This window comes from Homo sapiens, chromosome 3, assembly GCF_000001405.40.
Source record: "Homo sapiens chromosome 3, GRCh38.p14 Primary Assembly".
Taxonomy (NCBI): domain Eukaryota; kingdom Metazoa; phylum Chordata; class Mammalia; order Primates; family Hominidae; genus Homo; species Homo sapiens.
In genome coordinates, this window is record NC_000003.12 from 101220626 (window position 1) to 101236369 (window position 15744).

At 38.5% G+C, this 15744-nt stretch overlaps 1 protein-coding gene across 1 annotated transcript in view; it reads right to left on the reverse strand.

The window, feature by feature from the left end:
• The window catches only part of IMPG2 (interphotoreceptor matrix proteoglycan 2), a 98030-nt gene continuing 84206 nt past the window's right edge, over positions 1921-15744 (reverse strand). Inside the window, exons 15-19 of the mRNA NM_016247.4 lie at positions 12156-12366; positions 10332-10520; positions 8755-8965; positions 8172-8251; positions 1921-6356 (exon numbers count right to left, since the gene is read on the reverse strand). Of these exons, the coding sequence (NP_057331.2) occupies positions 6344-6356; positions 8172-8251; positions 8755-8965; positions 10332-10520; positions 12156-12366 (704 nt within the window). The 3' untranslated portion in view covers positions 1921-6343. The remainder of the gene's footprint in view (positions 6357-8171; positions 8252-8754; positions 8966-10331; positions 10521-12155; positions 12367-15744) is intronic.

Sequence of the window (15744 nt, forward strand, 5' to 3'; positions counted from 1 at the left end):
ACCACCAGTCCCCAAACCATTCTACCTCTTCATCCTGCCTTCTTCATTGAGTCTATGGTTAGGAAACTCGGAAAGGTTACTACATGTGGACATACAATGTATGGAATGTAGCAGTCCATACATTCTATGAATTACCAGAGGAGAATAAGGTAGATATAAATGTATCAATTTTATCTCGTGAAATATTTAGTGCTATTTTTAAATCTCTGTAAACCATCTCTTTAAAAGTGATTTTTAAACCATTCAGGGTCCACCTAATTTGTTCCTGGTATACAAGGTAACCATTTGCTTGCTGGTGATAAAACAGATACCTCCCATTATTTCAAGCTAACTGAATTGCTCATTATTGTAAACCAACTCTACATCAAGTACTCTTTGGTTTTGCAAATAGCAAATGAATAAGGCATGGCCCTAACATCAAAAAAAACTCAGTTTAGTGGGAAGTTAATGACATGAATAAAAAATTATAATACAGCTTTAGTGAATAACAGAATGGAAGCATATACGTGTACAGAAAAAGGCATGAACGAATAATTTTTTGAGGCTCATTGAAAGGCCCACCTGATGAAAATATGCACACTCTTCCCGAAACCTACCATGGTGTGTGCAATATTGACAATGAGAATTATTAATCTGAGATAATGAGCTGTTTCCCAAAAGTCCACACACAATGTTGGTGTTACTTGGAAAAGACTGATTTCTGAACACCTATTATCATATTAGCATCAATTCATTTGTTCTTACAGACAGGGGGTGCGGCGGGGGGACAAGATATGTGAGTTTTGGTGAGAAGATAATTTCAAGATTAGCTCATGAAGCACAGCCCATAAGGACTAGTTCATATGGGACATAAATTCAGAGGAACTAGAAAGTGGACCAGCATTGTGAGAGCATGAGCTAAAAGTGACTAGGGCTTGTCCGGACCAGACTTCTTAAAAGCAGGGTTATTACTCACTGTTTCTCCTAAAACCAGGTCACTTATTAATCAATCAACAGATATTTATTAGGCATATTTCCCCTACTTTTTGTTTTTATAATATGGTCTTTGGAGTCAAATCAAGACCACCCTCCTATTTTTTTTCTTTTTTTATATAATACTTTAAGTTCTAGGGTACATGTGCACAACGTGAAGGTTTGTTACATATGTATACATCTGCCATGTTGGTGTGGTGCACCCATTAACTCGTCATTTGCATCAGATATATCTCCTAATGCTATCCCTCCCCCCTCCCCCCACCCCACGACAGGTCCGGGTGTGTGATGTTCCCCATCCTGTGTCCAAATGTTCTCATTGTAAGACCACCCTCCTATTTTCTAAGACTGATTTACGATTTCTTCATGTCCTGTTGCCAGCAAGACATCATGCAAAGGTAGGAAGGAATAAAACTGAAAACTGAGGTTTCTGATGGCCAACGCACTGAGGAATCACCTGCTTGGATAACTGGTAGCTGATTTTCCTCCTGCCCCTCCCATGCAAGATTGCTTTAGATCGTTGCTACCATGTTTATTTCTTCTCTTTTCTCTTTAGACAGGTCACCCATTTCGCCTCTCCTTACAGACAGCTGGTGCTAGCTATACCATCAAATCTTTCTTTAATCAGCTTCATCAGTTTTCCTTCCATTCCTACCTTAAGCAGATGAGGGGGAAAAAAAAGAGAGTTTCTAACAGTTTAAAAGAGTAAAGTTTAAGAACGGCCAAATAATGACCCATCATCATTAAATACAACAAAATTTGAGGCAAGACTGAGGCTCCAAATTCATCTCCAGTTCTCCTAATCTTCACTTCGCAAAGATAAATCAAAGAAAGATTTTCATTTTCACACAATGCTTACATAGCATGTGTCTTTAAATGGTCATTACAATTCAACTGTTGCTAAGATCTACAATTTTCCTCTAATTGACAAAAACAAATGTAGACAGGTTCTTGAAAGTGATGTTTATTACTAATGAAAATAGTACAGTTGTATACATAGGAAAACATCCTTATTTATTCATAAAGACTTTAAAATGTTTATTTCTAATTATCCAATAATAAGACTAGAACATTTCAATAAAATAGTACAGTTAACATGAATTTATTTGATTCAAACCCTGGATAAAATGTCATTATAAACAAGGTGAAAAAGAAAAGTCCTTCATTATCCATACTCGATATTAAACATATATTACTGTATGTACACTATTGCTTAAGTATCATCACATAGTCCTGATATATGAAAAATTATACCTGTATTCTCTGATACCACAATTATTTTTTCTATATATAATCTTAATCTTTAAAGAAGTAATTAAACATGAGAATAAAAACACCAGGATGAGGAATCATTTAACCTAGGCTGTAGCTATAACTGTGTGGGCTGAGAGCAGTGTTTTTAACCAGTCTTACTATCCTGAGGGGAGTGGTTTAACCTGTCTCTTATTAACTCATAGCAGTAATGTAAGGTTTTACAAAATGCATGACTCAAGGAAATTTCCAGGCAATTCTTTACATCATGGTACCCTCCCATATTTCCACCTTCCGCCAGGATATCCTTTGTGGAATACAATGCAATGGATTTGAGAATAGTGACCGTCACATCATTTTTCTGCATTTATTACACAATTGGGAGAATAAGCTAGGATCTTGACTCACTGCAGCTGGATTGTAAATGAGGAAGGCTGGCCCCACCCATTCCTACTGGGAATTGTTAGAAATGTTTTAGAAAAAAATAAAACAAAACAACCCGTTTGGGGTTTGTGTTTTTGTTTTTTTGCTAAAACATCTCAATTTAATAGTTATTCTACTTCATTAGCTCTTTCATTATGGAATAAATATGTTGTCTTCTCTTCCGTTGCAAAATGAAAATTCAATTCAGAGACAGAAAGATGTCAAAGTACCCATTGCTGAAAACAGAAATAACATAAAGCTACCAAAAAAATCATGAAATGGAAGTCAAACTTATAAAACAAGCATACAAATGAATAATTAGTTCAGGTATCATACTTCAGCCAACCTACTTTTAGAGCCTACAAAGAATATTTGTGCAGTTTCCAGCTTTTTGTTAGAGGTAATATTAAGTCAGAGTTGTTCAAACACATTACAATTTAGTGTGGCAAAAAAGAGAGAAAAGAATAAAAAAGAGAAAGTGGGGAGGAGCCAACCCATGGTGACAGATAATGCAGAAGAAGAAAACAGAAGGTGAGAATAAAATCAGGTAAAGCCTGCACTTGTTTTATTATATAAATTAAATGGGGCCAGGTGCGGTGGCTCATGCCTGTAATCCCAGCACTTTGGGAGGCCAAGGCAGGTGGATCACCTGAGGTCAGGAGTTTGAGACCAGGCTGGCCAACATGGTGACGGTGAAACCCCATCTCTACTAAAAATATAAAAATTAGCTGGGCATGGTGGTGGGTGTCTGTAACCCCAGCTACTCAGGAAGCTGAAGCACGAGAATCGCTTGAACCCAGGAGGCAGAGGTTGCCAGGAGCTGAGATCGCCCCATTGCACTCCAGCCTGGGTGACAGAGCGAGACTCCATCTCAAATAATAATAGTGATAAAAATGGGACTTCAGGCCACATAAACGTGAACAAACACCCTTAAACCATTGCAATGGTGAAAATGGAGCCCTATTTATCAAATAAATTCCCCTTTATCCATAACCCATAAAAAAGGATAGTGTATATAATTCAATTATAAAGGCTACATCTGTAAAACACCACAGTATCTTACAACCTTTTATAATAACATTTTTAAAATGGTTATTTACCATGCATTTTATTGCTAACTGCATTTTAGTATTTTCACATAAGGTGATAGTCTTGTTGAATATTATATTGCTAGGTTAAGAAGAACGTTCTAATACTCAGAAAATTTCATTCCTCAATTGTGCAGTGTAAATGACAGTTCAGCCTAAGACTTTTAAATGATGACATGCCATTAAATCACCTTCGAGGAAGGTCTTTTAGAAAGAAGCTCTTTAGGGGTAGTTTTTTCCATCAAACTAATAGCTCCTTTAGTGCTTTGCTTTGTACATGAGTGGATGGATCTTTGCTGGGCAAACTGTGTTCTTCAACCTTTCAACAGTGGTTCAGCTATAGCAAAGGCAGGACAAAAGTTGTATTCCTCAACTGAGGCCTCCTGTTCTTTCCCTGATAGTTGAGGGGCTCCTTTACTCTTCCATTTCATTGGTGTGGAGCAGACATTCATGAAGAGCTAAGTGTTTTGCTCTTGCATGAAAAGGTCACGCAAAAGGAAATCAGAGATGGTGACGTGTGTCAGAATTCCCAAATTCCCACTTCACTGCTTAGTTTGTGGAAAACAACAACCCTCCTCTGGCTCAGTTCGTGCTTCTCCTAAGTGTTCTGCATGGTGACCTGCCCTAGAGGGATTTGTGTCCATCTGGAATTCTTCCAGCAAGCACACATTCAAAGAGTTGCATTCTAAGGTTAATTTGTGATAAAATACACTTTCATCTAACACGTAGTATAGGAAAACAGTTTACAGTCTTAAACAGAAAACTTTGAAAGTTTTATAAATAAAACTAAGCACTTAGTAGTGACAAATATCATTAACACTTAAAATGTCTTAAAGGTAATTATCAATTACTTTTCAAATGGGCCCAGTGGAAAGTGTCTAATTATCCAATATTAAGACTAGAACATGTCAATAAAATAGTGGAAAGTGTACCTATACTGAACTGTTAGAGGATCCATTATGTGAGTAGGGAATGAAAGGAAATGCTAGGATAAGGGAGCCACCTTGGCGCGGGCGCACATGCGCATTAGCGCGCACACGCACACACACATACACGCACACACACATTCACACATACACACACACAACCTGTTATCCATACATACTTTGCAAAATACCTGGCCATCTTCAAGGCTTTCACTAGCTTTACTGTGGCATGCACTGAGCCCAGATATTTAGTTTCCGGTGTCCTCATAATGAGCAGAATTGGCAGTCATCAAGTTGAGAAAAAAAAAAGTGAACCAAGTATTTTATCTTATGGTCAGTTTATACTGGTTATTTATATCTGGTCAGAAATAAATCAAAATGTTCAGAATTGGTTTTGGCAAGCATGAAGACATCTAGCATAAAGTATCTGCATTAATAATAACCTATTGCATATGCAATTTAATATCATGATGATGATGATTTGGCCTCCTCCTCTCCCCCTCCAAAGCAACCCATTCAAAAAAAACACTAGGGGGAAAGAGGAAAATTTCCATTTTCTGTCAAAATTTATATAAGGTATGGACTTCCTATCTGTTCAGTTTTTAAAATATTTTAATTGTAATAAAAGCTTTGCCCTGTTTTGTATAAGCAGGAGTTAATTTAGACAGGAGGTATTACACAAAGGAGAAGCAATGAAAATGAGCTCATCTATATTATGTGAGGTAGTTAAGTGCTGTTTTCCAAATTAATACACCAGGAACTAGAGGAGAGACAGGATTTGCCCAAGACATCTTTAGATTTCAGAAGCAATCAGGGAACCTCAGTCCAGCAATCAAGAAACAAAATATATTCTCAGCACTGGGGTCTTGACCCGACACTCACTCCCTCCCTGCCCATGTGATTAAATTTGTCTTTAGATTAATGGGAATCTTCTAAACTTTATATATATATATATATATATATATATATATATATATATATATATATATATATATGCATTCATCCTGAAAACTAAGAAAAAAAGGATATTAACATAGTTAACATAACAATAACATGGTCTTGATTAATATGCTCAGGAAATGCAAGACACTGATAGAAGCATAAAAATACAACCCGAATTCTATCCTGCAGCAAAAAAGTTTGCTTTTTCTTTAGCAGTTTGATCAAAAAAAAGAAAGAATTTTATTTAGATGAATGCCTGATTATAAACTATCCATTAAGACTATTTCAAAGGTTTCCCCTTCTACCCAACAATAACAAATATGCTCCAAAATATTCCCTTACTAAGCCAGACTTCTCCATGGAAGAGTCTCACCTTATTTTCCTATTGAAAAACCCGAGGCACAGTTCTTAGGAGACACCCCCAGTGATTCAGAAGCAGACAGCAACTGCAGCCCTAAATCCTAGGTCCAGCTTTTTCTTATAGAATACTTTCCAGAGTTTACGTAGTTTTCAATTTATTTAAACACAGCATTCAGTCTTTATAGAAATAAAAATGGTAACATCTCTTACTACATTCTGAAAACTTAAGCTGAAAAAAAAACAGTGTGCCCTATATTTAATTTTTTCATAGAAAACTCTTCTTCCAACAGTGTTTAAAATCCAGGTTAATTATATGACATAAGTAACAAGTAATCTCCATCTTCTCCAGGCTTCTAATCAGTTTCAGAACAGGAGTTTTGGTTAAACCTCTTCCCTGCCATGAAAACACAAAGAGCAATTCAGTAAAAAAAAAGCAAGAATGTAATAAAATGCAATTACTGTCATACATCACTAAGCTATACTCCTAAAATCATGAATACTTTCTATTTTTTTCTTTATTTGAAGGAAAGTTGTTCTGTTCTGTGCTAAAAATTTTTTTAATCCACTCTACAAAGATCATGTGATGCTTTAATCCTGAATCAACTCCATTAACATTTTTTCGGCTACCTGATAGATGAAAACTCTGAAACTAAGTGAAAACTGAAAATGCTGTTTGGATTACATGCCTGACATCTTTCCAATGTCTTATTCCTTCTGTGAACCTCCTAAGGTTACAGAGCCTGTGTATACTTTCTTTTGTCTCACAGGGTCTTCTAGTTCAAATCTTCTTTGTTTCATAGACTCTGTGTGTGTATTTTAATGTTAGACAGTGCACCAGAAGAAACAGAAACATGTAGTCAATCTGCCTATTCCTATAAGGCTCTCCTGAATCCTTCCTTTGCATGTCTTAGCCTAGAAAAGATGCATTTTTAATTCAGTGAACACATTCAGGCAGGTAGCTTTGAGAGGCTTCTAAAGGGTTGAAACATTCCTGTTATTTCTATTGGATACTACTGAAATGGAGCCGTGGGTCATCTGCTGGCTGAAGATGCAGAGATGAATGGATTCTCTGGTTTAAAAGGCAGACGCCTGGTGATATTGCTCTGGCTGCATTCAGCAAGACTGGCAGCACCTCCTAGGAGCCAAGTCAGATGTTCAGAGATTTTTAGAGTTATCTCTACCATGCACATGGAATTAGAAAAGCACCTTTCTCAGTTTCCTCAGTTATCAGTTTGTCCCTTCTCTTACAGAGGAACCACGAGCAAAGGAGCCACCTATCAGAGAAAAAGAATTTTGAGTAAAGGGGCAGGTGTTCCACTCAGGGCCATGGGTGTTATTGTGACCCTTCATTAATTTCTCTTATAAGCATGCATGAATTGCTCTGATTTTTCTCTTCTAAAAGCCAAGCCAGAAGATACTTATCTGGCCCTCCACGAACAAACACTTCCACGAAGGCAACAGTAGGACCAAATATCAATACCAAACTGTAATCCTACCCAATACACTCAGCTAACGCCCATTATGGCCTCTTTTCAAGATAGTTTATTTTGTAACCTATGTCTAGTTATGGATTGTGGGAACAAAGAAAAAAAGTACAGACATTTGCCCAAAATGCATCCTGAGAAAAGCAAATGGGAAAATTAAGATAAACTTGATAGAGGCAAGAGATACAGTTTAATGAGATTTGTAATTCAAAGCATACTGAAAAGTATCTACAGAGATAGAATTGAAAGAATATGTTGAAATATGTGAGGACTTATGGCTACTCAAATGTTCTTCAAAGGAACTATCTATGAAAAATATTTTATGGCATCAGATCAATCAGATCACTAGTGAGATCTATGACAACAAGAGAGAAAATATGAAAAGACTATGTGTAGTCCAGGCGTCTCTAGTCCAAAACAGACAGTATCTTAGTTTTAAATCTTCTCTGCCACTGGCTATCACTGTCATCTTAAGTAAGTCCCTTCATGTCTCCAAGATTTCCTTTCCTCAAATAAGAAACACTCAATTTACAAAGCCCTTATAAGGAAGAAATGAGATAATCTGCCTGGACATGCATAAACTTTGAAGAACTCAACAAATGTTGGTTATCACGGAGACTCCTGTCACATGGACAGGAAATTATGTGCTCACTCAGGTGTGACATTACTCTAGAGTAAACTGTTAAGTCTGTAGGTCGGGGTGGGGGGCTGTTTCAAAAGCTTACACTTGTTGCTCTCTCACAAAAGCTGCAAACTCAGGATCATTGGCATACAGTTCCAAAACTCTCATTCTCTCTTGAATTTCCTTAAACAAAAAAGAAACAATAGGCCACACATTGCATTAGAAAAACCTCAACAGCCTTTTAAAAGGGGTTCTAATTTTCATAAGGAATTGTTACATTCTGGGCTATTCAGAAGTATGCTATAAGAAAGAAGTGCAGGAGTGTGCACTTTCAGAGAAATGGAAGGATCTACATACACTACTCTGGATATTACATGTCCTGCTCTAAATCAGACATATTTCTAAGGAAGAAAGGGAGGAAGGAGAGAGTACCAGTTAATAACGCAAAAAAAAAAAAAAAGCGCCATTGTGGGGGAAATAAGGTACCGCTTAGAATTTAATACTCTGTGCATATCATAGACTAGGAGATACGAGGTAAAAACCAATTACTAAATATTTTTTACACTTTCTTAAAGTCCATGTGCATGCACACATACACTCATACACACCCCCACCCACCACCCCCTGCTCCCCCACACACACACCAGCAGTAGCTGCGACAGCAACATAAATGCAAAGTTTCCCACCTCTCTGGAAAGCTCACTGCTCTCATACATCTGTCTGATTTCTTCTCTGCTCAGCCCACCAATCACGTCTCCGCTAGCAGAGCTGTAGAAGGGATGCTGAGGATAGGGTCCCTCATACTTCTCACATCCAGCCCTGTGACTTTCATACACGGGGTTGTACTTCACAGCATTCTCAATAGATGAGAGGCTGTCAGGCTGCCTGCTGGAGCCACTAAAAGAAAGATATGATGGATTCAGGCTCTTGTTTGGATGCTCAACTATGTGGAAGACTATTTACCTGGGACAATATTTCTGTTGAAGAAAAACAGGTGCACTTTACACAAATGGTGGGACATAACTGTGAAAAACATCTAGATCAACCTCAAAAATTATTTGTCAGGTGTTATCATTATGATTTCCTCACACCCATGGCAAGTGCCCTGTGGACTTGTTCCATGTCTCATTCATCTTATTTGCCATGGCGCCTGGCATTCATAAATGTTGGAAACTATGTCTGCCAGTAGATGGTGCTTCATAAACTGTAGCTTCATCATTCCCAGAGTTATACACATTGAAAATCAGTGTGTAGCCACGCAGCAAATCTGACTGAAATATAAATATTACGGTCTAGGGGAAGCAGAGCCTCAATTAAATTCAACTCAGGTCTACACATATTTACCGAGCATTGATCATGTGCATAGGACTGTTCTACACACTGCTGACACAAATAATCTTTTATCTCTGCCCTGGATGAGGTTACAGTCTAATGAAAAGTCAGACACAATAAGAATATAATAACAATGACGGAGGTATGTCCCAGGTGCTCCAGGACTTAGCCAAGTTGATGGTGAGAGAAGTAAACTAGACCTCAAGTTGTAGCTCTTACAGACTTCAGACGCACAGAAGCAAAGTACAATATGTGATTATGATCCTTGCATCCTGAGTCTAGCAAATGGACCAGGTTTTATTTCCCCATCAATGAAGCAACACCTAACTAAACAGAGAATGAGATTTCATTTATTGACAGACCCTTACCTAGATTTAAATTCTGGCTTATTACCACTAGCTTGAGCCAAAGAGGAGCAAGTTGTAACAGATCTGGTCCTCCCTGAAGGGAAATTCACCTCTTCTATCTCATCTCCAACATTGCTTCTCCAAATTCTTTCTGGCCATGAAATAGGCATTCTGGTCACACTCAACCATGCCTTTCCTTCGATGAGCCTTGAAGTTCACGCATGCCTCCCTGACTTTGCTCATGCTCATTCAACCAGCTAGAAAGCATCCCAGCCCAAACATAGCAAATGTCTACTCTTTCTCTCCAGCAAATTACCACAGCCATCATTAAAACTTTTAAGACTCTTTCCCCAGGCAAAACTTATTTGTACCTCATCAAGGCTCCTTAGCATCTTATTCTTAGTGCTACTTCTGTTTTTCTTCAATTTGACACCCCTTTGAGGACAAGGACCATGTGTTTATTCAAATTCATAGCTCTCTTCCACCCAGCCAGCTCCTTGTCCAATATTTGGCACCTGGTAAGTACTAAATAAATGTGTAAATGGAACATTGTATTCCATTAGAGAGCTCTTTTCCTTATTTACCTGAAGGGACTCTCTCTTTCACTCCTGTCATGGTGTGCTTGGAGAGTCCTGATGAAGAAGTAGATGATAGCAGAAAAGATGACAAGAAGTCCAACCACGGAGGCAATAGTGATGCCTATGATCACGGGCTCAGACACAAATTCCTCACAGTGCTTGCCTCGGTACCACCAGTTCTCACCCACCCGGCACCTGCAACCAACAGTCACCAAGTCCGATATCTGAATCACTCTGCTCACACTGACAATTAACAGCAGAACCTTCTGAGGGACTAGAGGAAAGTAGAGAAATAAATGCTGACCACGTGAAGCTTCATAAAGAGTTGAATAGACAGATTAAAAGATCATACAATTTAAGGCAGTGAATAAAGCCCAGCACAGACCTAGTAGGTCCTCAATGACTGTTTGAAAGAAAACTGAATAAAAAGCTAAATAGGTTTAAGGAAATTATTCTACTTAACATCCTTATTTATAGATAACCAAAAAACAAGCCTAGGAAGGAAAGTGACTGGCATTAGGCCATACAATTAGTCTGCTGCAGAACTGGGCCTAGAACCCAGGCCTCCAGACGCCCCATGTCCTTTCAGTATGCTAAAGATATCCTTCAAACCCTAAGGCCACAGGGAAAGGAAATCACTGCTTTTCTAGGTAATATTAATTTCTCTGGACATGAAGGGACTGTTTTTCTCCTTATAAACTTTATCCTTCTTCATATAGAAGAGTCTGGATTATTTCTACTTATTTCCTGTTTCTGGCATCTATGCCAACATTTGCCCATTTTGACCTTGCAGACTGTCCTCTACTTTCTGTTTCTCCTCCTTATTCTCAGCATCCTCTCCTCTTCAACCACGCAGCTTTGGTTGTGTATGGTTGGAAAGTTGATTTGTTTGACTTTGTTTAAGGGGAGTGGGCAGATGACAGTCGGGCTAACTGAATCTGCTCATCTTCTCATTGGTTCTACCTTTAGAAAATGGATCTCAGATGTACTTAAAGAAAAATATTTTTGTCACCACTTTGAAAACTTTAAATACTTTAAAGTTTTTAAATGTTTGTCTTTATTTTTGAATGAATACTAAGTATGAATAAGAGGGGCCCAAAACCTTTAAAAATATAATTCAAGTATAACAATAAAACTCATTTTCACTTTCAGATATAGAGGAACGTGATCTTATGCCTAAACCTCATTTGAACACCAGTTTCCTTACCATCACCATTAAAAACTACAATACAAAGATCTCCATCTGCTCCAAGTAGTCTCAGTAGGATTTTTATTTTTTTTTTATTTATTTTTTATTTTTTTTTGAGACAGAGTTTCAATCTTGTTGCCCAGGCTGGAGTGCAGTGGCACGATCTCAGCTCACTGCAACCTCTGCCTCCCGGGTTCAAGCAATTCTCCTGCCTTAGCCTCACAAGTAGCTGGGATTACAGGTGCCTGCCACCACACCCAGCTAATTTTTGTATTTTTAGTAGAGATGGGGTTTCGCCATGTTGGCCAGGATGGTCTCAATCTCCCGACCTCAGGTGATCCACCCACCTTGGCCTCCCAAAGTGCTGGGATTACAGGCGTGAGCCACTGCACCCAGCCAGTAGGACATATTTAGACAATTTTTTTTTTGCAGTTCCCTAACAGCATAAATTACTGAATTGAAATTCAGGCCTGTTAAACAACTCATCCTCACATGACAGTTAGATGGCTCCCATCTATTGCCTAGATATAACTTCTATAATGCATACTATAATAAGTATCCTAAAATTATAGGTGCAGGCCCCTTTTCTTTAGAGGAAATATCTATAGCCTCTAAAGTCAAAATCTGTAACTACAACATACCTACAAATGGCCCCGTGCCCAGGCATAATGTCACACTTTCCATCATTCAAGCAGAAGTCAGGCTGTAGGTCACAGAGACTCTGACAGGGCCGTTCTTCCACACTCAGGTATCCAGGGAAGCATCTGCACTTTGCTTCTCCACTCCAGGGGTTGACCAGACACTCTGAAAATTCATTACAGGCCTGAAACTTGCAAGGGTTGGCTTCATCACCTAAAACATTAAACAAAGAATAATGCAAGAAAAGGCAAAACACAGAAACTGGGGTATACAAAGCCCTTCATTAAAGTTCTCCCCCAAAGTATATGGGACAACTCCTTTCCAGAACCATTAAAGTACACCATCGCCACCAATACCACACACAAAAACTCTCACTCATCATAGATCAATAAGCTTTTGTCAAATTTTTGTGCAACTCAGAGCCAAATCATAAAACCCTATGACCTATCTAAGCCTTAACATATTTTATCTAGGGAGCATGTAGAAGCTTTAGAAATCCATGCCATGTAATTGCAGATCTAAGTTAAACACAATAGTAATTGTAGATCTAAATTAAATGCAGTTTTCATGGACCATTCATTTCCACCAACCCCAACCTGCTGCAGTTGACCTCCACTCTACATACACTGCTACATGCCTTGCACAACACTGAGAACATGAATGGGGAGAGAGAGCTCAGAAGAGAACTGGTAGGAGCCTCAGGGATGGGTATAGCCCAGTAAGAGCAGCCTAGGAACAGTCAAGATTTGTGAAAATCAATGTTAGGAAAATAAGTCAGCCCTGCACTTCCTGAGGCCATTTCCAACAAAATATTTTTGCCTTCATAACTTAATTTTTCATTGATAGGGTGAGGGAAAATGACTATTTTTAAAAATGAATTAGGATAGTAATCAGTCAAAAAAGATATGACATTGACCATGAATGGGCCTTCCATCCTGCCACAGTTCCCACATGTTCTTCACTGGTCAATGGTAATCTGTGAATGGTAAGTGGGCAAATGGTGACACAGACATTGAAAATAGAGAAAACAGGTGGAAATGATCCATAGACTCATCTGTATTAAAAAGTATAAAGTTTAGCTAGAAGGCTATAGGGAATAAAAAGAAATAGCATAGCCTCTTGGTTTCCAGAATAATGGAAGGATCTACATACATAATGTTTTGAAAAGCAATGATTTCCTTGCTGCTCTGGAAATTGAAGACAATTTTGCACAAGTCTGTGCCCTTGGAGTTTGGAGATCACTGAAGTTGATCTCCTTTGGCTGCATGTGGTAACAGGGGAAATGTACTGAGTTGAATAGTGTCCCCAGAAGTTCATGTCCATCCAGAACCGCAGAATATGACCTTACTTGGAAACAGAGCATTTGTATATGTAATCAAGTTAAGAAGAGGCCATACGAGATTAGAATGAGCCCTAATGCAATGATTGGTGTCCTTATAAGAAGAGGGAAATTTGGACACAGACAGAAACACACAGGAAACAAGGCTATCTGGAGACAAAGGCAGATATTAGAGTGATACACCTATAAGCTAAGGGATGCCAAGGGATTGCTGGTAAACATCAGAAACCAGGAAAAGGTAAGGAAAGAGTCTTCCCTAGATCTTTCAGAGGGAACAGGGCCTGGCCAACATTTTGATTTTGGACTTCTAGCCTCAAGAACTGTGGGAGAATAAATTCCTGTTGTTTTAAGGCACCTAGTTTGTGGTACTTTGTTACAGCAGCCCTAGGAAACTAATACAGGGGACCACTGCCAAGATGCTCACATAACAGGAAAAACATACAAATGTGTTGACAGGTGGGAAATTTCTACAAGGGAACTGCATGGCCAGATTTCACTGTATATTTCCTAAGTCTTCACATCTTTATCCGGGTATTCGTTTTGTGACTTTGTAATCAGAAAATAATCTGATCCTTACCCAGCAGTGAGGGATAGGAGTGTCTATAGGGGTGAGGAAGATGGTACTGCATAGCTCTCCTTTGTTAATGGAAGTTCAAGAGCTTCTGAGACACTGCATGTTAAAGTAAGTTGGGCAAGAGTCAAGTCAATCTTGTCTCTAGCCAATCTTGAAATAAAGTACTTTAATCTGAAGGCCTTTAACTAAAAATATAAGATTGAATATCCCTTATCTAAAATTCTTGGGAGGAGAAGTTTGGATTTCAAATTTTTCAGATTTTGGAATATTTGCCTTTACATAATGAGATATCTTGGGGATGGAACACACGTCTACACAAAAAACTCATTTATGTTTCATATATACCTTATACACATAGACTGAAGGTAATTTTATACAACATTTTAAATAATTTTGTGCGTAAGACAAAGTTTGTGTATATTGAACCACCAGAAAGCAAAGAGGTCACTATTTCAGCCACCCATGTGGACAATCTGTGGTTGTTCGGCATCACCATCATGCTGTGCATGGAAAAACTGTATCACTCCGAAGGAAAGTGTGAGAGTCTTTTTTCCCCTGGGCCCTCTGAATAAACTGTTGTGCATCTGTGTTTTGACTGCAACCCATCCCATGAGGCCAAGTGAAGAAATTTACCCTTGTAGCATCATGTCAGTGCTCAAAAAGTTTCAGACTGGAGCATTTCAGATTTCAGATTTTCATATTAGGAATGCTTAACCACTATACATGTAGTAAAATGATTCTATTTAAAAATTTTGAAACTTTGTAACCATTCTGCAGGTATATGTGTCTGAGGTGAGAAAAATAGAGTCTATCTTTTCTATACATTAGGAAAAAGATATAGCCATAGGAAAAAGATAAAATATAGCCTTTTTGCTTCCAGGCCAAGGAGAAAGACAAAGCCTAATATTTTAATAATGTAAATAAAAGGCTGTGGTTTCAAAGTCTCTTTCCACTCCTTTGTGCTAGTTAAGAAAGGGTGCCCAGGTAGCTAACTGTATGTTTGGAAAAGTGCCTTAATGATTCTATTGGGGAAACAAAGGTAGAGTTGGAGGTAAATTTAGGATGGGAGACAGGGATCTAAATGGTGGAGTTAATTACAATCTGGTTTTCTAGGAGCAGCTTAAAACAAGGATAGATGGGTCTAGAAAAATGAGAGTAGAGGAAAGATGTGTAGATGGTCTGGAAAGACAGCTTTATGGCCTGAGCAACATCATAGCTGGCTGGGTCCTGGGAAAAAAGTTGGCCAGTAAGAGATGCCCTTGAGAGGGTGGCAGAGGAATTTAAGGATGGTTATGCCTAACTAATATTTTTAAGCCATCTGCCGTGCTGAGATAAAGCCTTCTCCATTACCTTCATTCCATTAGCAAATGCCTGATAGAATCAACTGCCTTATGTTGGAGGTGCTTTGAGCAGATCAAAAACAGGATTGTGATTTGCATTAGGTTAACACCACAAGAGTCAAGACTCCCGTGAGACTGAAAATCCAGCAAAGAAAACTCAGAACTGGGGAGGATTAAGAGATATTTAAGTTCCTTAACAATGCCCAGAAATACTGAGGAGTTGAGGGAACATAGATGCAGGTTTTATACTGCACAGGGGTGGGGCTAATGCCAGCTAATTTGAATATTAAAAGTAAAGGTGAGCTTATAAACCTTGATGATATTGCATGCAGCTGACA